This window comes from Homo sapiens, chromosome 1 (assembly GCF_000001405.40).
Source record: "Homo sapiens chromosome 1, GRCh38.p14 Primary Assembly".
Lineage (NCBI taxonomy): Eukaryota > Metazoa > Chordata > Mammalia > Primates > Hominidae > Homo > Homo sapiens.
In genome coordinates this window covers 201,483,530-201,498,655 of record NC_000001.11, presented here as the reverse complement: position 1 = coordinate 201,498,655, position 15,126 = coordinate 201,483,530, and the positions used below count along the sequence as shown (strand labels likewise).

Below are 15,126 nucleotides of genomic sequence, written 5' to 3'. Positions count from 1 at the left end.
AACGTGACCTGGATCCCTTCTTGAGCTGAGGCCCGTGTCACCCTCAAATGGGAGCTCTCCAGTAATGGAGACTGTATCTCCCTCTGCCCTTGACATTGACTCTCCAGCTGCTGGTGCAAGCCCTGTTACCAGGAGGGTGGGCTCTCGTTGCCACATCCCGGTTTTCAACATTTCCATGTGACAGGTTCCGTGAGCTCTCTCCTTAGGCTCCTTTGCCTCCTGAGGCAACAGATCCCTCTGACTCCCAGCCCCTTTATTTCCCGGCACCTCCCTGTGTCCTTTACTCACCAAGTCCTGGGCAACCCCCGGCACCAAGCCTGTACCCACTGTAGGTGGTGCTTTGTATAGCCCTTCCCTCATGAACTTCTGTTGAAAGAGCTGGAAGGGTGGTCTTCCTCCTTCAGCCACGTCTGTTGAGTGAGCGAGTGAAATGGAAGGAGAGAAGCAGGCCCCATCTGTTCTCCACACTCACTAGTGTTACCTTCCGTGCTGCTCTGTGGCCACGTGGGCACTGACCTGAGGCATCACTTGGACTTCTGTGTGCTGTATATGTGCCAAGTACTGTGCCTTGCCTTTGACATATCATATCTCATTTAATCACCAGACATACTCGGTGAAGTCGCTATTTTTATCCTTTTTTTTTTTTGAGACGGAGTCTTGCTCTGTCGTCCGGGCTGGAATGCAATGGCGCGATCTCGACTCACTGCAACCTCTGCCTCCCAGGTTCAAGCGATTCTCCTGCCTCAGCCTCCTGAGTGGCTGGGATTACAGGCAGGTGCCACCACGCCCCACTAATTTTTCTATTTTTAGTAGAGACAGGTTTTCACCATGTTGGTCAGGCTGGTCTCAAACTCCCGACCTCGTGATCTGCCCACCTCAGCCTCCCAAAGTGCTGGGATTACAGGCATGACCCACTGCACCCAGCTTTTATCCTTATTTAACAGATACAGAAATCAAGGTTTGGAAAGACTGACTATCTTGCCCAAGGTCACACAGCTAATGAGTGGCAGGATCAAGATTGAGCCAAACCTGCATGGCATCAGGACGCCAGCTCTGAACCAACACCTAGAGCATCTCAAAGTTGGTCTGGGCCACCTGCTTTGTTTGCCTGGGGTGCTTGTTAAAAATTCAGATTCAAGTACCTCATTCTCTCAAGTATCTCATTCTCAGAGGTTATAATTCATTAGATGTGGGGTGGTGTTACTAAATCTGATTTTGCAAAAGCCCCTCACTCTGAAGTTTGATAACTGCCCTGTGTGCCTACCTCCTGCCTTTTTTTTTTTTTTTTTTTTTTTTTGAGACAGAGTCTTGTTCTGTTGCCCAGACTGGAGTGCAGTGGTGCTATCTTGGCTCACTGCTACCTCCGCCTCCCAAGTTCAAGTGATTCTCCTGCCTCAGCCTCCAGAGTAGCTAGGATTACAGGGGCGCACCACCACACCTGGCTAATTTTTGTATTTTTAGTAGAGATGGTGTTTCGCCACATTGGCCAGTCTGATCTGGAACTCCGGAACTCCTGACCTCAGGTGGCCTGCCCGCCTCAGCCTCCCAAAGTGCTGGGATTACAGGCGTGAGCCACCATGCCCAGCCCTGCATTTAAAAAACAAAACAAAACAAAAAAAACTTTTTTCTTGTGGTGAGCTATAGCTTATATACAAAAGTGTGCACAAAACCTACATGTACAGTTCAAAGAATAATTATAAAGTGAGCCCCCATATGACAACCACCCTGAGTTAAGAAGGAGAGCATTGCCAGGCAGTGCCTTACCAGCCTCCCTGGTCTCCCAACCCAGTCATGGTCCCTTCCCTCTCTTAGAGGTAACTCTTCTAAGGTAAAAGCTTGTGATCATCATTCCCTTGCTTTTCTGTAGTAACTTTTCCACCTATATGTCCATCCCTTGGCAATATGAGTTTAGCCCATTTGTGAATTTCCTACAAATGGACTTGCATTTTCCCAGCTCTGGTCTGTCTGCTTCTTCCACATTCTCTTTGAGATCCGTCCATGTTGACGTGTGTAGGGGTAGGCAGTCCATTTTTATTGCAGCTGGAGCCTTCTTTATAAAGCCTGCTTCTTCTGCTGATCCACATCCTTTAGAGTGCCTAGCACAGGGCTGAAAATGCAGCAGCTGCTCTGTAAAGACCTGTTGATTAGATTGGGGGGAGGAAATCCCCGAGAACGTGCGAGGCTGCTGTCGAGAGCTAGCAGAAAGTGCTCTGCCAGGCCTGGTGGCCCCCCAGGCATTCTACTTTTGTCTTTCTCTCCTCTGGATCTGGCTGTTGCATTTCTGTCGTGGACAATCTGAGATGTTTCCATCTCCCTGTAAAATTAATTCCCATTTCTGTGTCCCTTTTCAGAATGCCGAACTGGGGAGGAGGCAAGAAATGTGGGGTGTGTCAGAAGACGGTTTACTTTGCCGAAGAGGTTCAGTGCGAAGGCAACAGCTTCCATAAATCCTGCTTCCTGTGCAGTGAGTACGCCCCAGGCCCTATTGCTGTTGCCTTGGACACCCTGGACGGGCCTGCCCCCACAGGCTGGGCCTGTCAACACCCCAGGGAACTGATCCCATGGGATGTAAACAGCTTGACATTTGGCTGAAGCGCAGCTGGGCAGGGAAACACTTCAGGGCCTCTTTGTTCCGTTCAGAAGCTTCTTTCTAAGGGATGAACTGGCCAGAGCGGGTCGGGGTGGCAGGCGTTCAGGGGCTGAAAGCCAAGCTGTAAAGACTTGGTTAAGAAAACTTTCCACTCAGCTCTCTCTTCTCTCTCTCCCTGTCATGATTTCACCATTTCAGAGGAAAACACTTTCAGCCCTTTGCACCCTAATTATCTCTTGTTCAAAGGCAACAGAGGCCACAACCTCATGGTGAAGCTGAATCTGGAGGAAGAGTGGGGCTCCTCCTTCCTCAGCCCCTTGCAGGCTGGCCTGTTCAGTTCTTCACTTCCCATTCCCACTCAGCCTGGGATGAGAGGAAGAGGGAGTACAAAGTTCCCTGATATCTACTCCTAAGAAGCCAGAGCAAGGTTTGCTCCAGTCATAAGCCTAGATGAGTAAGAAATCAGACAAAAGAATACCAAGCAACTGACAGAGGTCAGGTCGACCCAGGGATCCTGACACCGTGATGCTGCACCCACTGGTACCTGGGCCAGGTGATGTTTCCAGGATGTGGCAACTTGGTGAAGCCTCTCCTCAGGTTCCTAAATGAGTTGGTTCATTGTGATCAGAGCAGAAGGTCTGGGTTAGAAGAAGAGGCAACTTCAGCAAGGTGCATTTTCTTTCTTAAGACAGAGTCTCACTCTGTCACCCAGGCTGGAGTGCAGTGTCTCACTGCAGCCTCCACCTCAAATGATCCTCTCACCTCAGCCTCCTGAGTAGCTAGGACTACACATGCATGCCACCATGCTCTGCCAATTTTTAAAAAAAATTTTTAGAGAGACAGGGTCTCCCTATATTACCCAGGGTGGCGTTGAGCTCCTGGGTTTAAGCAGTCTGCCCACCTCAGCCTCCCAAAGTGTTGGGATTACAGGTGTGAGCCACTGTGCCCGCCAAGGTACATTCCCCATGATGGTAGGCAGAATGGATGGTAGAAGAATGTCTTAGTTAAAAAAGATTCGGTGTTTATTATCTGTGTGATGATGGACAAGTTACTCAGTTTCTCTCTGGTTGAGTTTTCTCATTATTACGGAGGAGGTAATAATAGTTACCTCATGGGATTGTTGTGAGAATTAAAATGAAAGAAGCTTGTAAGACAAAGCACTTAAAATGATTATGAGTGTTGAAGAAATGATATGCACACACACATGCGCACACACGTGCACACGCACACACACACACGCACACTGCTGAGGGATCTGTAGCAAGATGGTGTGATACAAAGAAGCCCTCACCAGGGTCTGAGGCCCCTGAAGATGGGGAGATCCAAGAATGGGGTCCTGTCTGTTCTGCATTACACGAAGCAAAGTTTCATGATTTGTGCTCCAGAGTAGGATACAGATGGGCCAAGAGCCACCTGTTCAATGGACGTTTGCATCTCTGCCTGTCGCTAGGTAGACCCACCTGAGGCCACCCCGCACAGGGCAGCAGGGGCCCCACATCCTGCTCAGCCGGGCCTGGAGTGACAGCTCCAGGGCTGCGTCTGATGAATGGGGAGTAAACAAGGTTTAGTGGAGCTTTGTTGGCTTCCAGCCTGCAAAGGAGGCCAGAAACAGCAGCGTCTTGTTATCAGCAGTTCACTACTCTTAGGAATTTCCAAGCCGTTTATCTTTCCAGAGGGAATAAGAGAGAGCTTGGTGCTGGCTGGGAAGGGGGTCTAGGCTGCTGGGGTCCTAAGGGCCCCTCTCTTTGCTCTCAGATGTTGCTTAATCACTGACCATAAGGGGTCAGCTGTGGGCGGGGGTGCCTGCCTGCAGACCTGTTTACGGAGGAGTAGTCGGTCAGAGGGTTGAGGGAAGTCAGGAATTCAGGGGGTGGCATAGGAAGGAAGGAACAGGGCCTGGGGCAGGGTGTGAGGGGCGCTGCGGATGAGAAACAGTTGTAGAAAGTCAGGCTGGGGAGCAGGGCTCTTGGCGGGGTGCGGGGGTGTTATGCAATGAGCAGCCGCAGGAAGCAGTCTCAGGTCACGCTAGGGTCTCAGGGCCAGTGCAGCTATTGGATATCAGAGCACCAAGTGGACCCCCTAGCACTGCACATGTCCCAGCAGGCTGAGCCATCTCCACAACTTGCTCATTCATCATGCCTAACACAGCACCTGGCACAAAGTGGGTTCCTGACAAAGATTTGTTTATGAATGGAAGGCACATCATTTCTCTTTTCCAGTGAAGTGGGTGATAAGTGTTCACCCCATTCAGGGTGCCCACTGAATCAAAGGACTTTCCCTCCCGAGGAAGGGAGAGGCTAGCCAGGTCTGGGCCAAGGGCAGTAAGGGCCATCTCCCTCATTGGCCAGGCCTGGTTGGGTCCCCAAAAGCAGTTGTGACCATGTGGGTTCTTGGCTCCAGATTCTACTCAGCTTGCCCACCTACATGCCTGTATTAGTCTACTCTCATGCTGCTAATAAAGACATACCTGAGACTGGGTAATTTATAAAGGAAAGAGGTTTAATGGACTCACAGTTCCACATGGCTGGGGAGGCCTCACAATCATGGCAGAAGGCAAAGGAGAAGCAAAGGCATGTCTTACATGGCAGCAGGCAAGAGAGCTTGTATGGGGGAACTCCCATTTATATAACCATCAGATCTTGTAAGACTTTTTCACTATCACAAGAACAGTATGGCGGAAGCTGCCCCCATGATTCAATTATCTCCATTTGGCCCAAGGAGAGATTTGGGTGGGAACACAGCCAAACCATATCAGTGCCCTTTCCTGAGTGTCTGAATGGGCGGGAGGAAGACATGATGATGTCATAGGCAAAGGTGGGGAGAATGACCTCCACCCTGGGCTTGGCCTGGGACCAGGGACTGAGAGGGCCTACAGTATACTCCCATGGTCTTGAAAGGGGCTGCCAGATCCTATGAGCAGGTGGTGGTTCAGAGGCTGGTGGGAAAGCTCAGCTCCGTGGCTGGGAACCTGCCCTGAGGTTATGTGCCCATCTCTGAGCTGTACCCAGCTCCCTGCTGGGGAAGGTGGGTTAAGCAGCCAGCCCTGAGGAAAGAAGAACTCTGTGATGGTGGCCGATGGAACAGGGCCCCACAGGTTGGCCCTGGGCTGTTCCCTAGAATCCAAGAGCACAGGGGAAGCTCACGGAAGCCTTGCACACTTTCTGACACCAGCGTCTCCTCACCTGCAGGCTGAGACTTACTGACACTTTTCACCCTCTTGGCCCCACATGTGTGGCCCACTGGAGGGGAGCAATGGCTGGCAGAAAACCACCAGGTCTGGAGGTCAGGGGCTGGGTTCTGGCCTGGCCCTGCATCTGGCCAACACGTGATCTGGAACTGTTTTGTGGGCCTCGGTTTTCCTTCCAGAAGCAGAGAATCATTCTCTATTTCTGAGTGGGGCAAGGGGGCTCTGACCTCTCCCCTGGGGCTGCCTTTTCCCTTTATTTCCAAGCAGTATCACAAGGGCCCACCAAAGTGGCATCTGGAAGTATGTGTTTCCAACAAATCCAGTCTTTTTTTTTTCTTTTCCCCTTATTGGCTTACCATGATATGGTAGAAATTTATTCAGGCCTGCCTTTAAAATTCCCCTTGATTGAGTCTTTGGTGGATCTTACAAAGACTTTGGTGAGTTGCAGAGTCTCTCAGTATATCACCTGGATGGAGGTAGAGGGGCAGAGGGCCACGATGGGCAGGATTGGGCCTCTGGGAGAACAGAAGGGCCAAGGCAAAGCAGAAAGGAGCAGGGAGGTCCTCGGCAGGGGAGCCATCTGGAAGATGTCAACTTGCAGGCCCTGAGGTCTGCCCTGGGCTGAGTTCCTGGGTCTCCTACTGGAGAGATCAGCCAAAATACACCTCTGTTCCCCCAAGCACTCTTTGCTTTCTGCCTTCTCTCTGGTCTTGGAATTTTCAGTTCAATTGGGATCTTACAGGAAAACAATTCCAGGCCAATTCCTGACTTCCCACCCTAGAAGGGAATGTTGGAGCCCTTGGCCTGTGGTTCCCTCTCCCTCCTTCTTGGGAGCTGGTCCCGGGGGGAAATGGTGGGAAGTTCCATATTTGGATGGCCCAGAGTGCTGGAATGAGATGGAGATCTCCAGAGCAGGACAAGAGGGTCCTTATTTAGTCTGAAGTCTCCAACCTGGGGCTTAGGGTGAGAGAGGAGCTGGCAGAGGGATGGACCCTTTAAAGGCAAGAGGATGGCAGTTGCAAGGAAAGGAGCTGAGAGCTTCTCCGAGGGTGGTAAAAGGCGTGGCTTCTCCAGTGGTATCCCTCGGTTTCTATGTTCAGGACATGTTTGAGGATGCGTCCAACTGAGATGCTGAACTCCAATATTTAAGGAATATGATCAAACCGAATTAGGATTACAGGACAAGTAAAGAAAAAGAATGCAGTTGAATCTCTTGAGAGGAGTATGTGAAAGTTAGAAGCAATGATCTCTTGAAGCTGGGGCCTGTCCCTCCCACTTCCTTGTCTCCCGATGGTACTAACTTTATATAATACTAATAAGAGTAGCCAACATTTATTATGCATTTGTTGTATGCAGGGTATTATGCCAAGTACTTCACATGTCAGATCTCATTTGATTCTCACCACCAGCTTTTGGGGCAGACATTATTATGTTCATTTACAAATGAGGACACAGAGGCTGGAAAGGCAAAAAAAACTTGCAAATGGCTGGAAAGGGAGAGAGCTGGGATTTGATTCTGGGCAGTCTGACTCTTCATGACCCCAGGCTCTGAACTGCTTTAACTTTATTTTTATTTTTAAAAGTTTTATTTATTTATTTATTTTTAAATAAATAGAGACAGGGTTATGCCATCTTCCCCAGGCTGATCTCAAACTCCTGGGCTCAAGTAATCCTCCAGCCTTGGCTTCCCACTGCTGGAACTACAGGCATGAGCCACTGCACCCAGCCCAAACTGTTTTATTCTGGATAGCTGGGCATAGCTCCCCTCTGAGATTAACAGGACGAAATATGAGGCCCACAGCCTTTCCAGCTCAGACCATTGCAATCCCTAGTTCCTTCCGTTCCACTCTCTCTTACCCCAGGAGTCAGGAAGTTCTTCTGTGTCTGACCCTCACTTCTTCCTGTGGTAAAGTGATTTCTGAGATTAGAAACTTCAAATCCTCTTGTGATTAGCATGAGCTGCATCCCATTTCAAAGCCCACCATGTTGGGCACTTAATAAATGTTAAACATTTCTTATGGGGTATCACATCACCTGCATCTCCCCCCGTTGGCTCCCTGCCAACATGCACAGATAGTCTCTTCTGGATTCCACTGTTGAAGGCAGGAAAACTGCCCTTCTTTTCTTTTTCCTCCTCCCCCATTGGGACATATGGTCTCTGTTGAGGGCAGAGTGAGGAACCTCAACAGGCGTCCTGTGGCTTGGGGTCAGCCTAGGCTGTTGCCTCTGAACCCTGTGTTGCACTGCAGCCTGAGGAAGTTTAGGGGTGCAGAGGACCAAAGGAGACACATATGGATTCCTGGAAGAGGAATTGGTGTTGGCCAGCATTTCTAGAGTCGGATATGCAGATCCCATCCCTCTGTCCTCCCACCCATTGGCCATCCCGCCTGCCTCCATTTGTAGACAGTTCCTGAAAGATCAGGATATTATGTATGCAAAGAGGCCAGAGAGCTTCAGCTGTAAGAAGCTTGCAATGAGCAAGAAGGTCACCCCAGCTTCAACTCAATGCGTCCGCTTCCCCTTCCCCTCCACAGTGGTCTGCAAGAAGAATCTGGACAGTACCACTGTGGCCGTGCATGGTGAGGAGATTTACTGCAAGTCCTGCTACGGCAAGAAGTATGGGCCCAAAGGCTATGGCTACGGGCAGGGCGCAGGCACCCTCAGCACTGACAAGGGGGAGTCGCTGGGTATCAAGCACGAGGAGTGAGTAAAAGATCCCCTCCCAACCTTTTTCTTGAGCTCTCTCCCCCACCCTGTATTAGGCCTCATGTGTATTTACAACCATTTTTGGGTAAGCAATGGAAGGCTCAGAAAACCAGTTATTTAAAAGGCAGTCACAGAGCAGTGTCTATGTGTCAGGCTGCTGCAGGAGCTGGGGATGCAGCAGGGACTAAAACAGGCTGGGCTCCTCCCTGCAAGGAGCGTGCATTCTATATTTGTATGAGAGTCAGAGCTGGGAGGGGCCCCAAGAATCACTTAGTCCAATTTCCTCTTTTTTTGTTTTTTTTTGAAAGGGAGTCTTGCTCTGTCACCCAGGCTGGAGTGCAGTGGTACAATCTTGGCTCACTGCAGCCTCTGCTTCTTGGGCTCAAGTGATCCTCTTGCCTCAGGCTCCCGAGTAGCTGGGAGTACAGGCATGTGCCACCACACCCAGCTAATTCTGTATTTTGTAGAGACAGGGTTTCACCATGTTGCCTCCTCTTTTTATAGATGAGAAAATCCAGCCCAGGCTCAGTGACTTGCCTGGGGTCCCACGGCTAGTGAGTGTCGGAGCCAGATCAGGGGCTCAGGGCAGCACCGTTGCCACACCAGCCTCACTGTCTCAGCCCTGCTATCTCTCACTACTGAGAAGAAGTCATTTCCCTTTCTTCGAAATGCCATAGGGTGTCATCAGCCCCACCACACCCCCCTCACCCCACGGCACTCCCTGGCCTCTGGGTAAATGGTGGCTGTTGGCAGTCAGCCTGGCTTGCTCCTCGGCCTGGGGGGTGGACGGAAATGATGGATGAATTACCAAGTTTCAGCCAAGGTCATTGCCCCAGTGGGAATGATTCATCAGCAGATTTCTCCTGTAAAGAATCTGATAATAGACCAGCTGCAGGAATGAGGGGCAGAGGAGGGCAATTCTTAGCAAATGGGGTGTTAAATGATTCTGGGGTTAACTGGGTGACCGAGGGAAGTATGATGTTACAATGGAAATAACATTGTGCTGAGGCTTGGTTTGTCCATCTGTAAAATGGGAGATGACCCTAGAGGCCCTAGCCTTTGTGACTTTGGCAGAGAGAATTGCGCGCTGCTCTGGCATGAGATGAAGGTAGGGTCATGCCCTCTCAGTGCCAGCCCCACCTGTACTTACAGTGTAAGTCACCTCACCCCATGCCCTTCTCCATGCAGAGCCCCTGGCCACAGGCCCACCACCAACCCCAATGCATCCAAATTTGCCCAGAAGATTGGTGGCTCCGAGCGCTGCCCCCGATGCAGCCAGGCAGTCTATGCTGCGGAGAAGGTGATTGGTGCTGGGAAGGTAAGGTGGCTGCTGGGCATGAGAGGGATGGGGGGAGATATCTTCCTGAAATGTGGATTCCAGAACTTTTAAATTGGTGACCTAGCTCTGCTCAGGGCAGCCTGAGCACTGGGGTTTAACCTCTTCTCTTTGTCCCTGTGGGTTGCATGTACCTGTGCTTTCCAGTCTCCAAGGAGCTCATATCAGCCATGAGCAGTAACATCCCCAGCATTGATGGACAATGGGCAATTCATAGGGAGTGGCAATGATCAATCTGTATCTCTAATATAGGAGAACAGAAAGTAAGGGTACGTGGATGGGCTGCAGAGGGTCCACAAAGCCCTGAAGATTATATACAAAGTTTCATGGGAACCTGTCTGTTTCTTAGAAGAAGATCCATAGCTTTTATTAAATTTTCAAAGGATTTGTGATCCCAAAAATATACATTCTGTTTCATGGGATGTGGACTCCCAAAAACCCATCCAAATACCCCCAGGGCAGAGATTTTCAAGGTTCAGACCTACCAGAGCCTCCTAGGAGGCTTTTTTCACACTGTTTAGAATTGCCGCACATGCCCTTCCCCCATGATATTCTGACAGTAGCCCCCAATCACCAATGCACAGTGAGAATCACTGTAGCAAATCAACAGTTCCCAATTGAGCTGATCACTTCCTTCAGATAGGCTGCAGTAGAGAAGAGGCAGAACTCTTGCCCCTGGGGTTTGCAGTGTCAGATTAGCAGTCAGAAAATCACAGAAGAGATGTCTTTCAGCTGTGGGGCCAGAGAGGAATTCTGGAGCATCACGTGAGGCCTGAGATAGAAAAGTGACTTGGCCAAGATCACACAACAAGGTTATGGAATGTCTGGGCCTGGAGCCCATCTTCATCTCTTCTGGATTCAGGTTTTGGCTTTCAAGGCTTTTTGACCTTGAGGAATGGGATAGGGGAATTGATCAAGAAATGTTAAACAATTAACACTTAGGCCAGTGTTAGAATCTCTACTCTCACAGTCATGGTTGGACAGAGATGGGGATTAGTATCCCTGTTGTACAGATGAAGAAACTGGGAGTCAGGAGGATTACATAATTTGCCCAGATCCGCTAGCTAGGAAGGGGCTAAGCCAGACTCAAGCCCAGGTTTGTCTGACTCCGAAGCCCTTGCTCTTACTGCTGTTACTACTGTTAATGCTACTTTGGGCCATTTAGCCTCTTCAAACCCATTTCCAAGGCTGCAAAATGGGAGGGGATCCTAGCACGGTGATTAAGAGCTTGGACTCTAGACAGCCTGCTTTGAATCCTAGTTTTGCCATTTATTGGCTGAGCGAACTTGGGAAAATTTAGCCTTCCTAAGCCTCAGTTCTTCAGCTCTAAAGTGGGCCTGGATGGTGGAGGAAATGCAAAGTGGACCAAGTAATGGCCCCTGACAAATAAGGCAGTTTTTTTTTGTTTGTTTGTTTTTGTTTTTGTTTTCTTTTGGCAGAATTTCACACTTGTCACCTAGGCTGGAGTACAGTGGCGCGATCTTAGCACTCTGCCTTCCGGGTTCAAGTGATTCTCCTGCCTCAGCCTCCCAAGTGGATGGGACTACAGGCACGCGCCACCACACCCAGCTAATTTTTGTATTTTTAGTGAAGATGGGGTTTGACCATGTTGGCCAGGCTGGTCTTGAACCAGCCTGGACCTCACGATCCACCCACCTCGGCCTCCAAAAGTGCTGGGATTACAGGTGTGAGCTACCACACCCAACAACAAGGCAGTTTTAATGATTAAATGAGATAGTACATGTATAATGTGCAATGTAGTGCCTGGTATGTCCTCAGTACAGTTTTGCTATTGTTATTATTATTGTTGTTTATTTTCAGGGATTATTTTGAGGTCACAATGAAGATCCTTGCCATTGACTAAAGGATATGAAAACAGGAGACATTAATATTATTATTAAGTTGGGTTTTTTGTTCTATCTCATTATGAGAATAGAAAATTATTAAGAATAGCTAAGAATCACTATTTCCATTACTTAGGCAGGCTATAAGGTAAAGTTAGGGCTGTACTAAGGAGTAGGATAAGAGAATTTTGCATTCAAGTGGAAAAGGTAGGGAGAAGCCCCACCTTTCTATTGCCTCGCTCAAGAAATGTTGAGCTGGGAGTACTTTTGGGTGCTTATGAATGAGCAAAGGGATTCAGCTTATTTTGGCAGGGAGGTGGCTAGGAAATATGAGGAGAGGTGTTGGTCTAGGTGTGATTCAGTTTTTCTCCAGCCTAGAGAGCTTGGGGTAGCAGCCCCTGCTTTACAGAGGAGGCAGCAAAGGCTGGGTGACTATTGAGGTTGCACCAGCACTGACCTAGACCCAGGTCCCCCCATTTCAGCTCTCTGGAGGAGAAGCCAATGTGCAAGGTTAGGCAACCAGGAAATCTGAGGGGATGAATTTCCTTTCTCATCCACCAGCCTGGGCACTGGGAGTGTCTTTGCCCTTAAAAGGCCTTGTTTTGTCTTATCTGACTGCTGCCTGCCTCTTGCTTTTCCTGGGTTAAGCAGAGCTGTCTACACATCAGCCTCTTAGCCTGCCCAGCTGTTGATGGGAACTGGCTGCGGAGAAGTCTGTCTGTGCAACGTCCCATCACTGTGTACAAACTCGGGCCTCACTTTTTTTCTGGGACAGCTGTTTGCCCTGTGTTACAGAATGCATGTGAGGACTAGATATTTAAACATATGATGCCTGGCCACAGAGAAGGTATTTGTAATTGGATTCTCCTGGACCAGCCCAGCCTCTGAAGTTCTAGAATTAGGTGCCTCCTTTGCCCAAAGGCTATCAGCTATTGGAGGGGAGGGTGGCAGTATGTCCCTCACTGGGTAGCTGTGAACACTAACTGACTTCACCAGTGTAAAGTGCCTGGCACAGGGCCTGGCACAGAGGAAGCCAGAGTCAATGTTGTCTAGTATCACTTTGGAAGGAGAATAAGTCTATGAAATGCATTAAACTCAGCAGGGAAAGTCCTAAGGAGTAGTTTCTCCAGGGGCCACAGAAGACCCTTTGGGTCTCTATGAGAGGCCCCAAGGCAACACAGGGCAGAGAGGTCTTTCTGGTGAGGGCTGTTCAAGTACTAAGTGACAGTACCAGGAGGAGTGCAAAGCCCTGGCTCACACCACTGATCTACTGGCAAGATGGGTCTGGAGAAGGCTCATCTGGCCCAGCCAGTGGGGTAACAGCTACTTTGGTGTTAAACCCACCCCCTCACCTGCCTTTTGTGGTATAGCTGGTGACCCTAATCATCAGGCCATTGCAACATAGCATGGAAGATGGTGCGAGGTGGCGTGTGGTCCCTGGCCTTCTCCCTCTACTGCCTTGCACCATAGGCCATGTCCTCCCAGCAGCACCAGCTGAGTAGACTTCAGAAGTGGCTTGAGCCCTTATACCATGGTTATGTCAAAGGGAGTGGGCCTGGGGTGGAGGGTACCCTCATCACTGGTGGCAGCCATTAACTATTTCCTTCCCTGCCTAGTCCTGGCATAAGGCCTGCTTTCGATGTGCCAAGTGTGGCAAAGGCCTTGAGTCAACCACCCTGGCAGACAAGGATGGCGAGATTTACTGCAAAGGTGGGTGTTTTCACTTCTAATTGAGGGTCAGGAGGCCCAAGGGGGTAGGGGGGCTAAGTAGTTTTGCCTTTGCTGAATGTAAACTAATTCCTGGCCTTGGGATCCAAGATCTGAACATCTAGTATGATTCCTTCATTGTACAGATGAGGAAACAAGACCAGAGGGGGAAAGCAACTTGGCCAGCATCATCTGGCAAATTGAGGCAGGCATAGGGCTAGACCCTGGCTTCCTAACTCCCAGTCCAATGTTCTTACAGCAGATGATGCTTCTATAATTTTGGTGGCAGGGGCAATGGGTACAGGGTACAACCAAGAGCCTCTTCGCTATTTTACTATTGAGATTGGGGTGCTGTGGAGGTGAGGGGGTACCAGTGGACCTTCCTTCCCTAGCAGTCTGGCTGGGCACTAGGAGTGGGGGATCTTCAGCAGGAGGGTGGGTGGTGTGGCTGGGGGTGGAGGAAGAACATGCCCTTATCTCTCTCCTCTCTCTGCAGGATGTTATGCTAAAAACTTCGGGCCCAAGGGCTTTGGTTTTGGGCAAGGAGCTGGGGCCTTGGTCCACTCTGAGTGAGGCCACCATCACCCACCACACCCTGCCCACTCCTGCGCTTTTCATCGCCATTCCATTCCCAGCAGCTTTGGAGACCTCCAGGATTATTTCTCTGTCAGCCCTGCCACATATCACTAATGACTTGAACTTGGGCATCTGGCTCCCTTTGGTTTGGGGGTCTGCCTGAGGTCCCACCCCACTAAAGGGCTCCCCAGGCCTGGGATCTGACACCATCACCAGTAGGAGACCTCAGTGTTTTGGGTCTAGGTGAGAGCAGGCCCCTCTCCCCACACCTCGCCCCACAGAGCTCTGTTCTTAGCCTCCTGTGCTGCGTGTCCATCATCAGCTGACCAAGACACCTGAGGACACATCTTGGCACCCAGAGGAGCAGCAGCAACAGGCTGGAGGGAGAGGGAAGCAAGACCAAGATGAGGAGGGGGGAAGGCTGGGTTTTTTGGATCTCAGAGATTCTCCTCTGTGGGAAAGAGGTTGAGCTTCCTGGTGTCCCTCAGAGTAAGCCTGAGGAGTCCCAGCTTAGGGAGTCACTATTGGAGGCAGAGAGGCATGCAGGCAGGGTCCTAGGAGCCCCTGCTTCTCCAGGCCTCTTGCCTTTGAGTCTTTGTGGAATGGATAGCCTCCCACTAGGACTGGGAGGAGAATAACCCAGGTCTTAAGGACCCCAAAGTCAGGATGTTGTTTGATCTTCTCAAACATCTAGTTCCCTGCTTGATGGGAGGATCCTAATGAAATACCTGAAACATATATTGGCATTTATCAATGGCTCAAATCTTCATTTATCTCTGGCCTTAACCCTGGCTCCTGAGGCTGCGGCCAGCAGAGCCCAGGCCAGGGCTCTGTTCTTGCCACACCTGCTTGATCCTCAGATGTGGAGGGAGGTAGGCACTGCCTCAGTCTTCATCCAAACACCTTTCCCTTTGCCCTGAGACCTCAGAATCTTCCCTTTAACCCAAGACCCTGCCTCTTCCACTCCACCCTTCTCCAGGGACCCTTAGATCACATCACTCCACCCCTGCCAGGCCCCAGGTTAGGAATAGTGGTGGGAGGAAGGGGAAAGGGCTGGGCCTCACCGCTCCCAGCAACTGAAAGGACAACACTATCTGGAGCCACCCACTGAAAGGGCTGCAGGCATGGGCTGTACCCAAGCTGATTTCTCATCTGGTCAATAAAGCTGTTTAGACCAGAA

General features: G+C 50.2%; 1 protein-coding gene across 4 annotated transcripts in view; it reads left to right on the top strand.

The window, feature by feature from the left end:
- The window catches only part of CSRP1 (cysteine and glycine rich protein 1), a 23,594-nt gene extending 8,468 nt beyond the window's left edge, over positions 1–15,126 (top strand). For 2 of the 4 annotated variants that reach the window (NM_004078.3, NM_001193571.2), the window contains exons 2-6: positions 2,352–2,464; positions 8,312–8,480; positions 9,672–9,801; positions 13,280–13,373; positions 13,867–15,126. In NM_004078.3, coding sequence (NP_004069.1) covers positions 2,353–2,464; positions 8,312–8,480; positions 9,672–9,801; positions 13,280–13,373; positions 13,867–13,943 — 582 coding nt within the window. In that variant the 5' untranslated portion in view covers position 2,352 and the 3' untranslated portion in view covers positions 13,944–15,126. Of the gene's footprint in view, positions 1–2,082; positions 2,235–2,351; positions 2,465–8,311; positions 8,481–9,671; positions 9,802–13,279; positions 13,374–13,866 lie in introns of those variants that run through there. The other 2 variants (NM_001193572.2, NM_001193570.2) reach the window with 2 other exon arrangements.